We start from the raw sequence: 14,804 nt of genomic DNA, 5'->3' as shown, positions 1-14,804 counted from the left end.
ATTTTATCCCATCGCCCAAATGAGCCCCCTCCCCACGAGTGGGCGCTCCCCACCCTGCCCTGCCCTGGCAGCCTCCCCTCCGCTTGTTGTCTCTGTGGAGCTGGGCATTTCGTAGACGTGGGATCATGCTGTGCGGGCCTTTTCTGTCTGGCTTCCACGATGGTGTTTAGAGCAGGCTCCTGGCCTGTCTTGGGAGTGGCGGTGAGGCTGAGGGGAATTGCTGAGCCTGCCTCAGGTGTGGGACGGACTGGCTGAACGGGGCCCGGGGCGTGTATTTTTGTAGACCCTGCTCTTGCCTGTGTGTCCCCATACACGATTCGTGACACGTGATCCATGAGTTGGGGGTCGGCAAACCGCGGCCCACTGGCCACATACAGACGCGGCCTGTTTCCGTAGAGTTTGATGGGAACTCCCCGACGTGCATTTGTGTAGACCTTGGCTGTGGCTGTTTCGGCTGCAGTGGCAGAGGTGAGTGGTCTCAGCAGACACCATGGGGGCCACAACACCAAGGTGGGCTCTGACCCCCTGGTCACGGGCAGCTCAGAGGACAGGGTGTCTCAGGCCCCTGCAGCAGGTGGCACCAGGGCCAGGCTGTCTTGTGCACCTGCCTCGTGGGCAGCTCCGACAGCTTGGAAGGGGATGACCTACCCCTGTGTGTGAGGAGTTGGTCCCCTTGTCCAGGACTCATACCCTCACCACACCTGGCAGGCAGGCAGCCGGGTGAGGTGTCCAGCGGGGTCTCACTGTGGTCTTTTTGTGCTGGGCGGAGGGGGAAGCAGGGGGACATGGGGAAGGATGAGGAAGGGAGCACAGAAGGGAAGGTCTGGGAGAGGGGAAGCTCCATCCGGCATCTGCTCAGGCCAGGGCCCATCTGAATAAACCACAGCTTTAAGCCGGGGTGTGAGGCCCAGGCTGTCCCCAGCGAGGCCGTGTGTGGTGGAGCTGGGCCAGCCCTCTGGCCACAGAGATGAGCTGTGGGTGGGCCGGGGTGGGCCCAGCCTTGTTCTCAGAGCTGCTTCCGGGACTAACTGCCTTCGGAGACTCAAACGATCCTCCTGCCTCAGCCTCCCAAAGGGACCCCAGGTTGGGTCCCTCTTCCCAAGGGGCTGAGTCTGGGCCTGAGAGCCCTGCTCTGGGAGTCCCCCTTGTACTCTTCACTGAAGCTGGGCACTGGCAAGGCCCTGCCTTAGCCCTGGGCAGCTCCTGTCTGCTGAGGACCCGTGCGGGCAGCCACAGGCAGGATGAGGGGGTGGCCCAGAGCTGGTGGAGCCTGGACAGGCCCAACCCCAGGCCAAGGCCATGGCCAGTGGCCCTCAGGACGGACATGTCTCCTACTGCCCCCTGGCCAGGCCTCCAGGGCACAGTCGAGGCCCAGGACTGACTCGGGCCACCCTAGAGGGGTCCTGAGGCCCCAGGCTCCGCTTTCCCTGGCGGGCCCAGCTGCCGGGTGGTCTGGCCTGGCCTGAGGCTTCGCCCGCACTTCCCCTGGAGGCCGCTGGGTGGCAGCAGAGATTGACTCTAGGTGGTGGCCACAGCCTCGGCCTCCCTCTGTGGGCCCTGGAGTCCTGGTGGAGAGTGCAGACCCCCTGGGGTCCCAGGTGCGGTGGGGATGGGGCTCCCTCCACCATGGGTCTGGCCCACTCTAGTGCCCCAGGGACCCTGCTCCTTCCTCTTCCCAGCTGGGCTGGGCGAGGTATCCGCCTGGAGGGGATCGAGGTGCTGTCCCCCAACGCAGGCATGGCGCACATCCTGGGGTGGACGTGGGTGAGAGGAGAACCCCACGGCCCCTGCCTCCTGGAGACCACGCGGTCACGGGGACTCATCGTGGATTTAAGGCACACAGGGCCCCAGGGGAGAAGGTACTCAAACTCAGGTGTTCCAAGGCCCCCTTATCTTGGGCTACGGAGTAGGGGACCCTGCAGTGGGCGAAGCCTGGGGAGTCTTAGTGCAAGTGTGTGCCCTCCCCCCATGCCAACCTCCCCCATGCCACCCTCCCCCATGCCACCCTCCCCCCATGGCACCCTCCCCCCATGCCACTCCCCCATGCCACCCTCCCCCCATGGCACCCTCCCCCCCATGCCACTCCCCCATGCCACCCTCCCCCATGCCACCCTCCCGCCATGCCACTCTTCCCGTGCCACCCTCCCACCATGCCACCCTCCCCCATGCCACCCTCCCCCCATGCCACCCTCCCCATGCCACTCTCCCCCATGCCACCCTCCCCCCGTGGCATGCTCCCCCTGCCACCCTCCCCCCATGCCACCCTCCCCCCGTGCCACCCTCCCCGCCCAGGTGCGCCCTCCCTTCGTGCCACGCACCCCCCGAGGTGCACCCTCCCCCCATGCCACCCTCCCCCATGCCACCCTCCCGCCATGCCACTCTCCCCGTGCCACCCTCCCGCCATGCCACCCTCCCCGTGCCACCCTCCCGCCATGCCACCCTCCCCCATGCCACCCTCCCCCATGCCACCCTCTCCCATGCCACCCTCCCCCATGCCACCCTCCCCATGCCACCCCCCCCATGCCACTCTCCCCCATGCCACCCTCCCCCCGTGGCACCCTCCCCCCGTGCCACCCTCCCCGTCCAGGTACACCCTCCCCCCATGCCACCCTCCCCCCGTGCCACCCTCCCCCTATGCCACCCTCCCTGTTCAGGTACACCCTCCCCTGGGCCACCCTCCCTGCCCACGTGCGTGCCCTCCCCCGTGCCACCCTCCCCGCCCAGGTGCACCCTCCCTTCATGCCACCCACCCCCTGAGGTGCACCCTCCCCCCGTGCCACCCTCCCCACCCAGGTGCATGTGGGTTGACCCCAGGGCCTATGGAATCCTCTCAGCCTCATCACTGGATGCTGCCGTTGACAGGAGGACCCTGAAGGTAGATGGGACTTGCCTGCGGGCATCAGCTCACAAGCAGAGCCTGTCTCTCCCAGAGTCACTTCATGGTGGGTGGGAGGCTCATGGCTCAAGCTCCAGGCCCCCTGCATGACCTCTGGAGGGGCTGCCCTGCTGAGTGGAGACCCCCAGGTGGGGCTGCTGCTGGGACACATGCCAGAGGGCAAGGGGGTGGTGGAGGGAGGGAGTGGGACCCTCTGGCCCTGGGCTTCCTCCCCGACACCCTTCCCCTGCAGGCCTCAGCTGCAGCTCTTGGCCACTTGGCCCCAGTGTGGACACTGTCTCTGCCCTGGAGAATGTGGAGAGGACAAGAAGGATCAGGCCCACGGCGGATGGGAGCCCCAGCTCTCCACCATGCTGTGGGGAGGGGTCAGCCTGGCAGGGTCTGCTGGGGAGCTGTGGCCAGGTGGGCTCCAAGCAGGGGACTGGGTGTGTGTGGCACCCCAGGGTGCTTTCCATCTGAGTCTCCAGCGTAAGCAGCCCCGTGGTTATACAAGTGACTGTGGTCCATAAACATTCCGGGAGGTGTATCCGTCAGTCGGCAGTTCACGGCTGCTCTGTCACCCGAGGGCGTGAGCTACTCAGGGAACAGAAACACCAACCAAGCGGCCACCATGGCCTCAGCAGGATCAGGCCCTGCCTGAGCACTCTGGGTGCCTTGGGGTCAAATGGTAGTGGTCGTGTTCCCTTCTCCTGCTGGGCTGGGCCCTGAGTGCCCAGTGCTGGGGCCGGTGGGGACCTGGTTGGCTGAGGGAGGCTGTGTGTGAGGGTGCAAGGCCAAGCTGGACGGCTTCCTGGGGGCCGACCTGGGGGCACCGGAGCGAAGCCCCACCCTCCTGGCCTGCGTCCACATGGCCACGCTTGGTCCTGTGCCTCTGGCTGGCCTCACTGGGCCCATGGTTGCCACTCTTTGCCAAGCCTTAGTCTGTCCTGTCCCACAGCCCCTGCCCTCAGGCAGCCTCCAGGCCAGGCCCCCACCCTCTCCATCTGGAGGCTGGGGGAGGGCTGGCCCCTCCCCACATACAGGCCACAGAACCTGTGATTGAGCCCTGGCCAGGGGCTCAATCAGTTGGATGAACAGTGGGTGGGTTTGTGATGGAGACTCAGGGCTGTGTGTTGGCACTGCCAGGCTGAGTCTCTGGGCTCAGGGCATGGCTGTAGCTGAGAGTCTACACTGTCCTGGGTCCCCCAGACTCAAAACATCACTGTGGCTGAGAGTCTGCACTGTCCCGGGTCCTCCCCGGGTCCCCCCGGGCTCAGGGCATGGCCGTGGCTGAGAGTTTACACTGTCCCGGGTCCCCCAGATGCAAAACATCACTGTGGCTGAGAGTCTACACTGTCCCAGGTCCTCCCCGGGTCCCCCCGGGCTCAGGGCATGGCTGTGGCTGAGAGTCTACACTGTCCCGGGTCCTCCCCTGGTCCCCCCGGGCTCAGGGCATGGCCGTGGCTGAGAGTCTACACTGGGTCCTCCCCGACTTCCCCGCTGGGTCTGGTGATCGGGGTTCTTCCTGTTCTGTGTGACTGGCAGCCTCTGGTCTGCGTCGGGCTCCCTGGGCTCTGCTGTCTGGGTCAGCTTCTGCTGTGAGATGCTGTGGAAGGAAAGCCCACGTGGACGGCTCGTGACGGCCACCGTCTGTTCATGCTCCATGCAGCTGTAGTCACTTGGGCTCAGCTTGGGGTAAGGTCCGGCCTGACCCCTACCTCCTCCTCCTGGGCCAACCGCCCCTGGCTTGCTCTGCTCCTGGTGTGGGCAGAGCACAAGACGAAAGCCCTATGCACCAGGGTCATCCAGGAGCCAGATGGAGACAGGAACAAGGCCCAGAAGGACGGCAGGGGCTCACACCACTTCCCCTGCACCCTGGCAGGCAGCCACACCGAGTCGGGGCAGGAAAAACATGCTGGGCCGCCTCCTGGAAGGCTCTGCAGAGGATCCTGTGGAGGATTCTGATGGGCGGATCCTGGGGAAGGGGTTGGAAGCCCAGATCCCACCCGCTGAACCTGCCTCTGGGGTCTCTGGACAGCTCCTGGCTGCCCAGACATGACCTGTGCTGGCCAGGGCGGTGGCTTCAGTCTCCCCCAAGGCTCCACTTGGCGTGACCCTGACCACGTGGGCCGGGACGTGGGGCCTTCTGATCACCTGGCGTGACCCTGACCATGTGGGCCGGGACGTGGGGCCTTCTGATCACCTGGCGTGACCCTGACCACATGGGCTGGTACGTAGGGCCTTCTGATCACCTGGCGTGACCCTGACCACGTGGGTCGGGACGTGGGGCCTTCTGATCACCTGGCGTGACCCTGACCACGTGGGTCGGGACATGGGGGCTTCTGATCACCTGGCGTGACCCTGACCACGTGGGCCGGGACGTGGGGCCTTCTGATCACCTGGTGTGACCCCTGACCACGTGGGCCGGGACGTGGGGCCTTCTGATCACCTGGTGTGACCCTGACCACGTGGGCCGGGACGTGGGGCCTTCTGATCACCTGGTGTGACCCTGACCACGTGGGTCGGGACGTGGGGGCTTCTGATCACCTGGCGTGACCCTGACCACGTGGGCCGGGACGTGGGGCCTTCTGATCACCTGGTGTGACCCCTGACCACGTGGGCCGGGACGTGGGGCCTTCTGATCACCTGGTGTGACCCCTGACCACGTGGGTCGGGACGTGGGGCCTTCTGATCACCTGGCGTGACCCTGACCACGTGGGCTGGGACGTGGGGCCTTCTGATCACCTGGTGTGACCCCTGACCACGTGGGCCGGGACGTGGGGCCTTCTGATCACCTGGTGTGACCCCTGACCACGTGGGTCGGGACGTGGGGGCTTCTGATCACCTGGCGTGACCCTGACCACGTGGGCCGGGACGTGGGGCCTTCTGATCACCTGGCGTGACCCTGACCACGTGGGCTGGGACGTGGGGCCTTCTGATCACCTGGTGTGACCCCTGACCACGTGGGCCGGGACGTGGGGGCTTCTGATCACTTGGCGTGACCCTGACCACGTGGGCCGGGACGTGGGGGCTTCTGATCACCTGGTGTGACCCCTGACCACGTGGGCCGGGACATAGGACCTTCTGATGCCTTTTGGGCCCTTGGGTCCTTGAGTGGTTCTTCCAGGAGGGCCTCTGGGGGAGTCTGGAGTGTGCCCGCATGTCAGGGGAGAGCTTTGCTGTCATCTGGCGTGAAACACAGCATCTGGGACAGAATTCCAGGTGCCTTCTCAGCCAGACCCGCAGCGTGGCGGTACCTGGCGTGGTGGCGGGGAGGCGGGCTGGCCTGGCTGTGAGTCCTCACCTTTGGTTTGCGCGGAGGGTTCTGTTATTGCCTTTGAGGATGTAGATGTCTCCAGAGGGGCTGAGTGGGAATCTTCCTACAGGTTTTGCCTGGAATGGGGGCCCTGGAGTCCCTGCGCAGTCACCCCTGCCGTCCTTCTGGGCCTTGTTCCTTTCTCCGTCTCACTCCTGGATGACCCGTCAGCCTCCGCACTGTCACATTTGTGGTTCGGGGGGTCACGGCGCTTTCTGCCTCTTGAAGCACCAGTCCCCCTCAGAGCCTCAGTTTCTCCACTATGAAGCAGGGATACCTGTGTCTCCCTTGACACAGCGCCTGACCTGGGGGCATCCCTGGTGAGCCCTGCGTCCAGCCCCACCCTGCCTGCCGTGGGCCCTGCGAAGTGCTGGGCAGTGGACATGGCCACTGTGTCACAGACAAGATGAGGCCCAGGGACCTGAGCCAGTCGTGGCCCATGCCCATGCCCACAATGCCAGCCCTCCCTGGCCCCACTGAGCAAGGGGCTCTTCTATGCCTCAGGGAGGGGGCACCTGGCCACCAGTGGTCCCTGCAGACGACACAGCTGGAGTAGGACAGGCCACCCACAGCCTGCCCAGAAATGTGGGACGGGAATCTCAGGCCTCACACCCGCCCCAGGCAGGCATGGCCCCTGGGCCCTCAGGTATGCCCCAGGGTCCCGGGGGAGGCTTGGCCCCATCTCCTGGCCTGGGGGCTGTGCCCAGCCGGGCACCCACTTCTCCCCGCCCGCCAGAGAGGGAGCCCATCAACGCCACCCTCCTCAACTTTTTTCTCCTCCCCAATTAATTAATTTAAATTGACCATTAAGTCAGGCAAGTTTTTGATTGATATTTTCATTAGCAGCCCTGTCCGACGCCCCGGGAATGTATGGTAACGTCCGATCCGCGGCGGCCGCACTCCTCCGCAGGCTGAGTTATGGCTGGCATCGCGCGGCTCCCGGGGTAATTTGAATTCAGATGAGCTGCCGCCGTGTTCCGGAGCGGGCGGCCGTCTGCTGACGGATGGCACTTGGGTTACCGCAAGGTCACCGTGCAGCCGCCACCCACCGCAGGAGGGGCCGGCCAGGCCGCCGGGGAAGGCGGGCAGCCCTGCAGCGGGTGACCAAGTGGACTCCCGAGAACTGCCCAGCCGGTGGCCATCCGGTGAAAGCGCTGGCGAGCCCGGGGGCCTGGTGGCCTGAGACCGTGGCCAAGCCTCACAGCTGCCATCCCTCGGGGGCCGGAAACGCAACTCTGCTTGAGGCTGCCACAGCCTCCTCTCCCGGGGCTGCGGTGGGGGTGGGGGTGGCAGCAGGAGCCAGGCCTCTTCCTGAGGAAGGTGCTGCCCAGGACGGAGCAGCTGCCTTTCACGTCGGGGGAGCTTGGGCCCATCTCAGGGTCCACCTGCAGCTGGACACAGTCTCCTCTACCGCTGATGTCCCCGTCCTGGAGCGGGCATGCCAGGGCCCTGGCCGTGGACTGCTGGAGGGCTGGACCTGCCATACTTTCTGCTGCTCAGCGTGGGGGACCGCATGCCGGGCTGGTGGCCACAGTGGGAGGCACAGAGCCTCAGGTGCCACTGTCAGCCCTGTGACCGTGGGGGCTGCTTCAGCGCCTGTGCCTTCGTTTCCCCATGGGCACAAGAGCGATCGTAGGTTGCCTCCATCTGTGGTTTAGGGAGGGACACGCGGGAGGCCCAGGCAAAGCGTGAGGTTCATGCTGGCCGTGTGCGTGTGGCCTCCCCTTCCCCTTGGTGCTGACTTATCCTGTCCCTGGCAGGGGCCCCTCGAGGCAGAGGGTGGTTGCTTCTGGCCTCAGGCCTGGTGGGGGCTTCAGGAGACCTTTGGAGGGCTTGGAAATGTGGTGCCTGAGTCTGAGGGAGGCAGAGATGGCTGCGGGCAGGATCTGACTCCCAGCCTGGGCCCAGCCAAACAGCCGCTGTTCCCGACCTCCCTCCCCGAGCGAGCCAGCCCAGAGCTCCACCGTCCCCTCACAGCCCCCGCCAGACCCCCAAATGGGCATGCAGGGCTGGAGACCCTGCCCCTCTGCCCCTGTTTGTGTGTCTGAGGCCATTTAAAACGGGCACAGAGGGCCGGCTGTACTGCCAGTCACAGGGCAGGGCTGGTGGGGCGGCCCCTCAGCGGCAGTGCCCTGGGAGGGAGGAGGAGCCCAGTGGAAGGAGGTCATGGGAGGGGCCGTGGGGCCAGGGCCTGGCTGGAAGCCTGAGGGGCCACAAAGGAGTCCCCAGGGAAGGTGCCCACCCCAGCCAGATCCACCTTCAGCCGGGGGGCTCCTGCTGCAGTGACTCCTAGGGAAGCAGCCGCCTTTGTTCTGCCCCTGTCGTCACCCCCACACTGGGGGCTGCACTCTGACCGTCACGCTGGCTGGAGAGTATGAGCCGAGGCTGGCATCCTGATGTGACTCCGGGTCCTGCCTCTCTCCGTGCTGCTGCTGTAACGGCACCGTGTCTGGGTAACTGATCGTGAACAGGGGTCGGCGGGCTCAAGTTTCTGGAGGCTGGGAAGTCCCAGATTGCGCAGCCGCATCTGGAGGGTCTCTTGCTGTGTCGTCAGGTGGCAGAGGGCAGAGGGGAAGGAGGAAGGCGAGAGAGCAGATGGGGTCGGAACCTGCCCTTTAATATGTGCCCCGTTCCCAAGACAGCAGCATCGATTCGTTCATGAATGCGGTGCCGTCCGACCCAAACACTTCCCATCAGGTCCCACCTCCCCACACCACCACTGTGGGGATCAGGTTTCCAACACATGAGCCTTGGGGGACGCATTCACCCCACAGTGGGTGGGGAGCCCCATGGCCGCAGGGATATTCCCCCAACACGGTGCCAGGGACGGCACGGGCCAGACGTTCAGCCTGCTCTGTGTGACCTGCTGGTTCCTGCAGACCCAGGCTGGGGTCTCAGAGCTGGGGAAGGCAGGGACCTTGTGACAGCCTTGGATGGGGGGACTGCCCCAGTCCAGTGGGAGGGGCTGGCACTGCCTCCGTGACCTGGGACAGGACCCAGTGGAGCTAATCCTGATTCCCTCACCATCTTCGCTCCCCGCTGTGGAGGCTGGGTGGCGGCAGATCCACCCCACTGTCCCCCACCCCAAGCTGCTGGGCCCCACCTCCCAACCTTCCTTGCAGTGGAGTGTGGCCATGTGACTAAGTTCTGTCTGATGAGATGTGAGTGAAAGTGTTAGACAGGACTTTCAGGAAGACTCCTTAAAAGTAGCCGACTGACCGGGCGCGGTGGCTCATGCCTGTAATCCCAGCACTTTGGGAGGCCGAGGCGGGTGGATCACGAGGTCAGGAGATCGAGACCATCCCGGCTAACATGGTGAAACCCCGTCTCTACTAAAAAATACAAAAAATTAGCCGGGTGAGGTGGCGGGCGCCTGTAGTCCCAGTTATGCGGGAGGCTGAGGCAGGAGAATGGCATGAACCCTGGGGGGCGGAGCCTGTAGTGAGCCGAGATTGTGCCACTGCACTCCAGCCTGGGTGACAGCGAGACTCCATCTCAAAAAAAAAAAAAAAAAAAAAGTAGCGTAGCTGACTCAGCTAGGAAAAGGGTCCCCTGTTCTTTGTGTTCCTTCTTTCTTGCTTCCTGAAACTGAGGCGTGATGGCTGGGGCTCTGGCAGCCATTTGAACCATGAGGTGACCTTGGGCAGGAAGCCACATGCGAGGAGGTGGAGCAGAAAAAAGCCAGAGGTTGCCTACGTATGTGGTGACCCTGGGGACCCGATCCCAGCCTGGCATGGCCACCTCCAACTCTGGTCTCATGAGAGAGAAGTTGACTTTTGCTGTGGTTGCTGCTACCGTGTTGATGGCAGTGTTGTGTTTTGGTGTTGCTGTTGCTTATGTTGTTGTTGTTGGCAGTGATGTTATTTCTGTTGATGTTTTCATCATTGTTTTTGTTTTTGGTGGTGGTGGTGGTGGTGGTGTTTTTTCTTTCTTTCTTTTTCTTTTTTTTTGTGAGACAGAGTCTTGCAGTGTCACCTGGGCTTGAATGCAGTGGCGCAGTCTCAGCTCACTGCAACCTCCACTTCCTGGGTTCAGCCTCCCAAGTAGCTGGGATTACAGGCGTCCTATGTGGTGGTGCTTTTGTAGGTTTTTGGCATTGCTGATGGTGGTGGTAGTGATGACGGTCCTGTTGGTGGTGATGGTGTTTTGTATGCAGCCAGTACAATTCCTGACTGTGGCAGGAACCAAAGAGAATCCCCCCTCTGTGGAAACAACTCCCGGAAAGGCCTCCCTTGCTCCAAGACAAAGTGAGAAGACAGAGCTCAGGTGCTTCTGTGGGATGTCTGCGGAGGAGGGGCCATTTCCTTCCACAGCTGTGTCCAGGCACACTTGAGAAAGGTCTGTTATGGGAAATAAGATGACATTTTATTTATTTATTTATTTATTTTTAATTAATTAATTTTTTTTTTTTTTGAGACAGAGTCTCACTCTGTCACCCAGCCTGGAGTGCAGTGGCACGATCTCAGCTCACTGCAACCTCTGTCTCCCAGGTTTAAGCGATTCTCCTGCCTCTGCCTCCCCAGTACTGGGACTACAGCTGCCCGCCACCACGCCCGGCTAATTTTTGTATATTTAGTAGAGACGGGGTTTCACCATATTGGCCAGGCTGGTCTCGAACTCCTGACCTTGTGATCTGCCCACCTCAGCCTCCGAAAGTGCTGGGATTACAGGCGTGAGCCACCACGCCCGGCTGACTTGTTTTTTAATAAAGTATAAGGAAATGTGGAGACCATGAGGCGAGAGAGGACAGCTTAGATGATCGCAGGGCAGATGAAGTGAAGCAGATCCAGGTGCCAGTGTGGGCGAAAGGGACCTGACATGCCCAGGACAGGGCTTTGCGTGTGGACGCCGTGAACCCCCATTCCTGCCAGGGCCCTGAGTGGTACAAATGGAGCTCCAATGCACAGCAGAACTGGGATCTGTAGTAAAAGACAAAGCGCAAGGCCGGTGCCCGGTGCGTGAGTCAGAGACGCTGGAGATGAAGGGCGGGGGTGGTCACGGGAGGCCGGGGGGTGAAGACCTGAGAAGCCGATTGCAGGGTATAGACCCAGAGATAGGCCAGCACCTGGTGCGGGAGGGAGATGCGGCTTGGAGGAAAGTGCCCATGTCCACAGGTGCATGAGTCTGGGAACAGGGCGGGAAGGCCGGCCAGTCCTGAAGTGGGCCAACCCCAGAGACGCCGAGCTGGGCAAGGGAGCCCAGGCCATGCCTGCCATACCCCTCCATGCGCGCCACCAGCTGGCCCTGGCCTCTGCCCTCCTGCCTTGCCTGCCCTGGTGAGGCCGGGTCGTTGGCCGCCCTGGCAGTGCGTGCCGTTCCCTCTCCAGCTCCGTGTTTGCCCAGCCCCGGGCAGTGGTAAGGGGCCGCTCGCCACAAGGTGGGATCCTGGCAGCTCCTGCCTCAGCCTGTGGCTGCAAAGTTCAGTGACTCGTTAGTAACCTGCTTCACTTAGAAGGTGCTGGAGCTCAGGGAGGATGGGTGAGCAGCGTGGGCCCAGAGCCTGCCTGTCTTTGACCCCAGGAGGAAGAGAGCCCAGGCCGTTATGTGGGCTGCTTTGGGGTGGGGGCTCAGTGGACCCCCAGCTCTCACCTGTGGACGCTCTGCGGCATCCCCTTCCCCGTCTTGTTGGCAGCGTGGAGCAGCGTTGCTGGGTTGGGTGCAGGTTGATGTGTTTCTGTGCTGTGTTCACTGAGGTGAGCTTGTGGCTGCCGCAGATAAGCCCTGAGCCCTCGGGGGGCCGTGGAGGCCTCAGCCCAGCCCAGTGAGAGGGCTGGGGGTCGGGGGCTGGGGGTCGGGGCTGGCTTATCTGTGCGGTGGCATTCCCCCGCTGGGATGGTGCTGGGGTTGCACACAGGCCCGCATGGCTGGTTCTGTGGCTGGGTCCCATCCCTCCAGCCACGTTTTCCTGGCCATACCCCATGGCCTGGGAGGCCGGCGGCATGGAATCGCTTCAGCCCAGAAGGGAAAGGCATCTTTGGCGGCCACAGCCATGAGCCACAGTCCACCCCTCAGGCTGCCAAACAGCCTCCCCTCCCGTCTTCCTTCCCCAGAGCTGCCGTCCCCATGCAGCTCCAGCCCACACCTCCAGGTGGGCACAGCAGGGCCAGGAGACTCTGCCTCCCATCCCTGCTCACCTGTCTGGGGCTGTCTGAAGGGGGCCCTGGGGGCCCGGCTGTGGTACCAGCCCACTTCCCACCCAGGGACATTTGGGCCTGGAGCTGTGGTCAGGCCCCAACAGTTACTGGTGTTCCAGTCCGGGCCTGGTTTTCCTGGGATTCTGGCCAGGTCTTTGGCCATTCACTCACCCGCCTACCCTCAGACACACTTTCCCATGCCATCCCCACTGAGGGTGGCCACCTGGGGGCCACAGCCTGGATGCACCCCTGCCGTGATGGGCCTTCGGGCTCAAGGCCAGCCTCACTGTCTCTGCGAGGCAGCACGTGCCCTGTCTTCTGGTTCTACTTCTTCCCCAAGAGGCAGCACTCACCTGCCTCTGTCTTCCTTCCAGGTTGCCTCACGGACTGTTTCACCAAGTATGTTGCCATGACATAGCACGGCCCTCCATCTTCCCATCTTCACGGCATCTGACAGCCGTCTCCTCACTGGTCGGCTCTATGCCAAGCATTCGTGACACACGTCAGTTCTGTTGTGGTGGCACCATCGCAGCGACTTCTCTCTTGGTGAAGGAGTTGCTGCTGCTCACCAGCAGCTGCCGACTGCTCCTGGGTGCTCCTGACATGCAGGCGCTCCCTTCAAGGGGTGGGCGCAGGCACCCTCAGGCCTGAGGCTCTGCTGTCCTCACCGCTGAAAGAGAACCGTCAACCCAGAATGCTATACCCAGTGAGAAGACCGTTCAGGAATGAAAGGGGCGTCAAGACATCCTCAGATGAAGGAAAACCAAGCGTGTTTGTCACCAGCGGACCTAAAAAAGAGTGGCTAAGGCAGGTCTCGGAACAGAAATGGAAACAGTGAAAGAAGAAACCTTGGAACATCAGGAAGGAAGAAAGAGCGCAGTAGGCAGAATTATGAGTGAACATAATAGGTTTCCTTCTCCTCTTGAGTTTCCTAAATTATGTGTGATGGTTGAAGAAAAAAATTAGAATACCGACTGATGTGATTCTTGATAAATGTAAAGGAAATGTTTATGATATGTTATAGGTGGGGAACTAAATGGACACCAGGGAGGGAAGGCTTCAGCACTTCCCTGAAGCTGGTAAAATGTCAACACCGGCAAACTGTCATGAGCCACGTATAAGTAATAACCTAGAACAGCAACTAAAAAAGTGGATGAAGAGATGTACTCAGAAACACCATAAATAGCTCAACAGATAAATAACTCAACACATGATCCCAAAGTCATGAAGATACTCTCCTGTTTGCTAAAGTTAAGTTAAAATGGAGACTGAGCAGACAAAACATGCAGGCCTCATGAGTGTTGTCAACCTTGCTTGATTTGTAAATATAAATGAAACTTTTTTTTAAAATTTCAAGATGGAGTCTCCCTCTGTTGCCTGGAGTGCAGTGGTGCTATCTCAGCTCACTGCAACCTCCGCCCTCTGGGTTCAAGTGATTCTCCTGCCTCAGCCTCCTTAGTAGTTGGGACAACAGACACGTACCACCGTGCCTGGCTAATTTTTGTATTTTTTGTGGAGATGGTGTTTCACCCTGTTGGCCCAGCTGGTCTTGAACTCCTGATTTCAAGTGATCCACCTGCTTCGGCCTCCCAGAGTGCCGGGATTGCAGGCATGAGCCACGGTGCCCAGCCCATAAGTGAAACTTAATTTGAGCCTATATTAAAGAAAAACAGAGCTGAAGCTCAGCCAGCCAAAGCAGCCAAGAAACTTACATAACTAAGGCTTCTCCGCGGGACAGACCGAAGCAGGCAACAGTGTGACTGTCACCAATCCAAGCTTTTCTTTGGTTTACTTCTGCATCCTTCTTATCAAAGCCTTCACCCTGCATTCCCTCAACCACTTCTGGTTTGCAGCTGCTCAATTCAAGAATGTATTTGCTCAAATAAACTATTTTGCCTTTTAAACATGTGTTTTCCTAGAATAGTCACAGTTTTAGTTTTGTTGTTGTTGTTGTTTTGAGACGTGAGACGGAGTCTCGCTGTGACACCCAGGCTGGAGTGCAGTGAGATGGAGTCTCACTGTGACACCCGGGCTGGAGTGCAGTGGCGCAATCATGGCTCGGCTCCCGTGTCATCCAGCCTGCTGGGCGCCAACTTGCTTGGCCCCTCTTGATGGCCCTTGGGCTCAGTAGGGAGGGGTGGGACCTCCCCGCTTCCAACCTTGGCCGTGGGGACCTGCGTGCCTGGCTGAGTGAGCCGCTCCTGGGCTCCTGGCACTGTCTTCATCAGCAGTGCTGATGTGTCCTGTGACTTGCTTTATTTTGGGTTTGTTTCATTTTGTGGTTTTATTTTGTGTTTGATTTTGCATCTCATGTCGCTCCGCAGTCTCACATGCTTCCTCTCCTGGCTGTGCCCACCCCTTCGTCTTGCCGGTGTCTTGATTTCCTGCACCAGAACCTGCTTACTGCATCCAACATCCCCCATCCTTCCTTCCTGGAATCCCAGAATCTCTCACACAGTGGCTGGCCCAGCACCCAGGG

General features: G+C 61.3%; 1 protein-coding gene and 1 long non-coding RNA gene across 9 annotated transcripts in view, besides 1 other annotated feature; both read left to right on the top strand.

Annotated features, from left to right (window-relative positions):
• Positions 1-14,804, top strand: part of FAM53A (family with sequence similarity 53 member A) — a 111,956-nt gene that overhangs the window by 55,207 nt on the left and 41,945 nt on the right. For 7 of the 8 annotated variants that reach the window (XM_047449670.1, XM_047449666.1, XM_047449669.1 and 4 more), the window contains one exon: positions 12,700-14,229. The exons of the other annotated variant lie outside the window; for it this stretch is intronic. In XM_047449670.1, the coding sequence (XP_047305626.1) occupies positions 12,700-12,738 (39 nt within the window). In that variant the 3' untranslated portion in view covers positions 12,739-14,229. Of the gene's footprint in view, positions 1-12,699; positions 14,230-14,804 lie in introns of those variants that run through there. 8 annotated transcript variants of the gene reach the window in all.
• On the top strand, positions 1,526-3,497 carry LOC105374349 (uncharacterized). Its single transcript, XR_925052.3, has 3 exons — positions 1,526-1,859; positions 2,794-2,875; positions 3,129-3,497. It is a non-coding gene; the product is annotated as an uncharacterized LOC105374349 (long non-coding RNA).
• Positions 1,559-1,698: an enhancer, noted in NCBI's record as "active region_21154". NCBI's record gives its function as "activates an Ori minimal core promoter by ATAC-STARR-seq in GM12878 lymphoblastoid cells {active_cell/tissue: GM12878}" and the evidence as "EXISTENCE:reporter gene assay evidence [ECO:0000049][PMID:35858748]".

This window comes from Homo sapiens, chromosome 4 (assembly GCF_000001405.40).
Source record: "Homo sapiens chromosome 4, GRCh38.p14 Primary Assembly".
Classification (NCBI taxonomy): domain Eukaryota; kingdom Metazoa; phylum Chordata; class Mammalia; order Primates; family Hominidae; genus Homo; species Homo sapiens.
The sequence above is the reverse complement of the archived record's forward strand: the minus strand, read 5'-3'. Positions and strand labels throughout refer to the sequence as shown.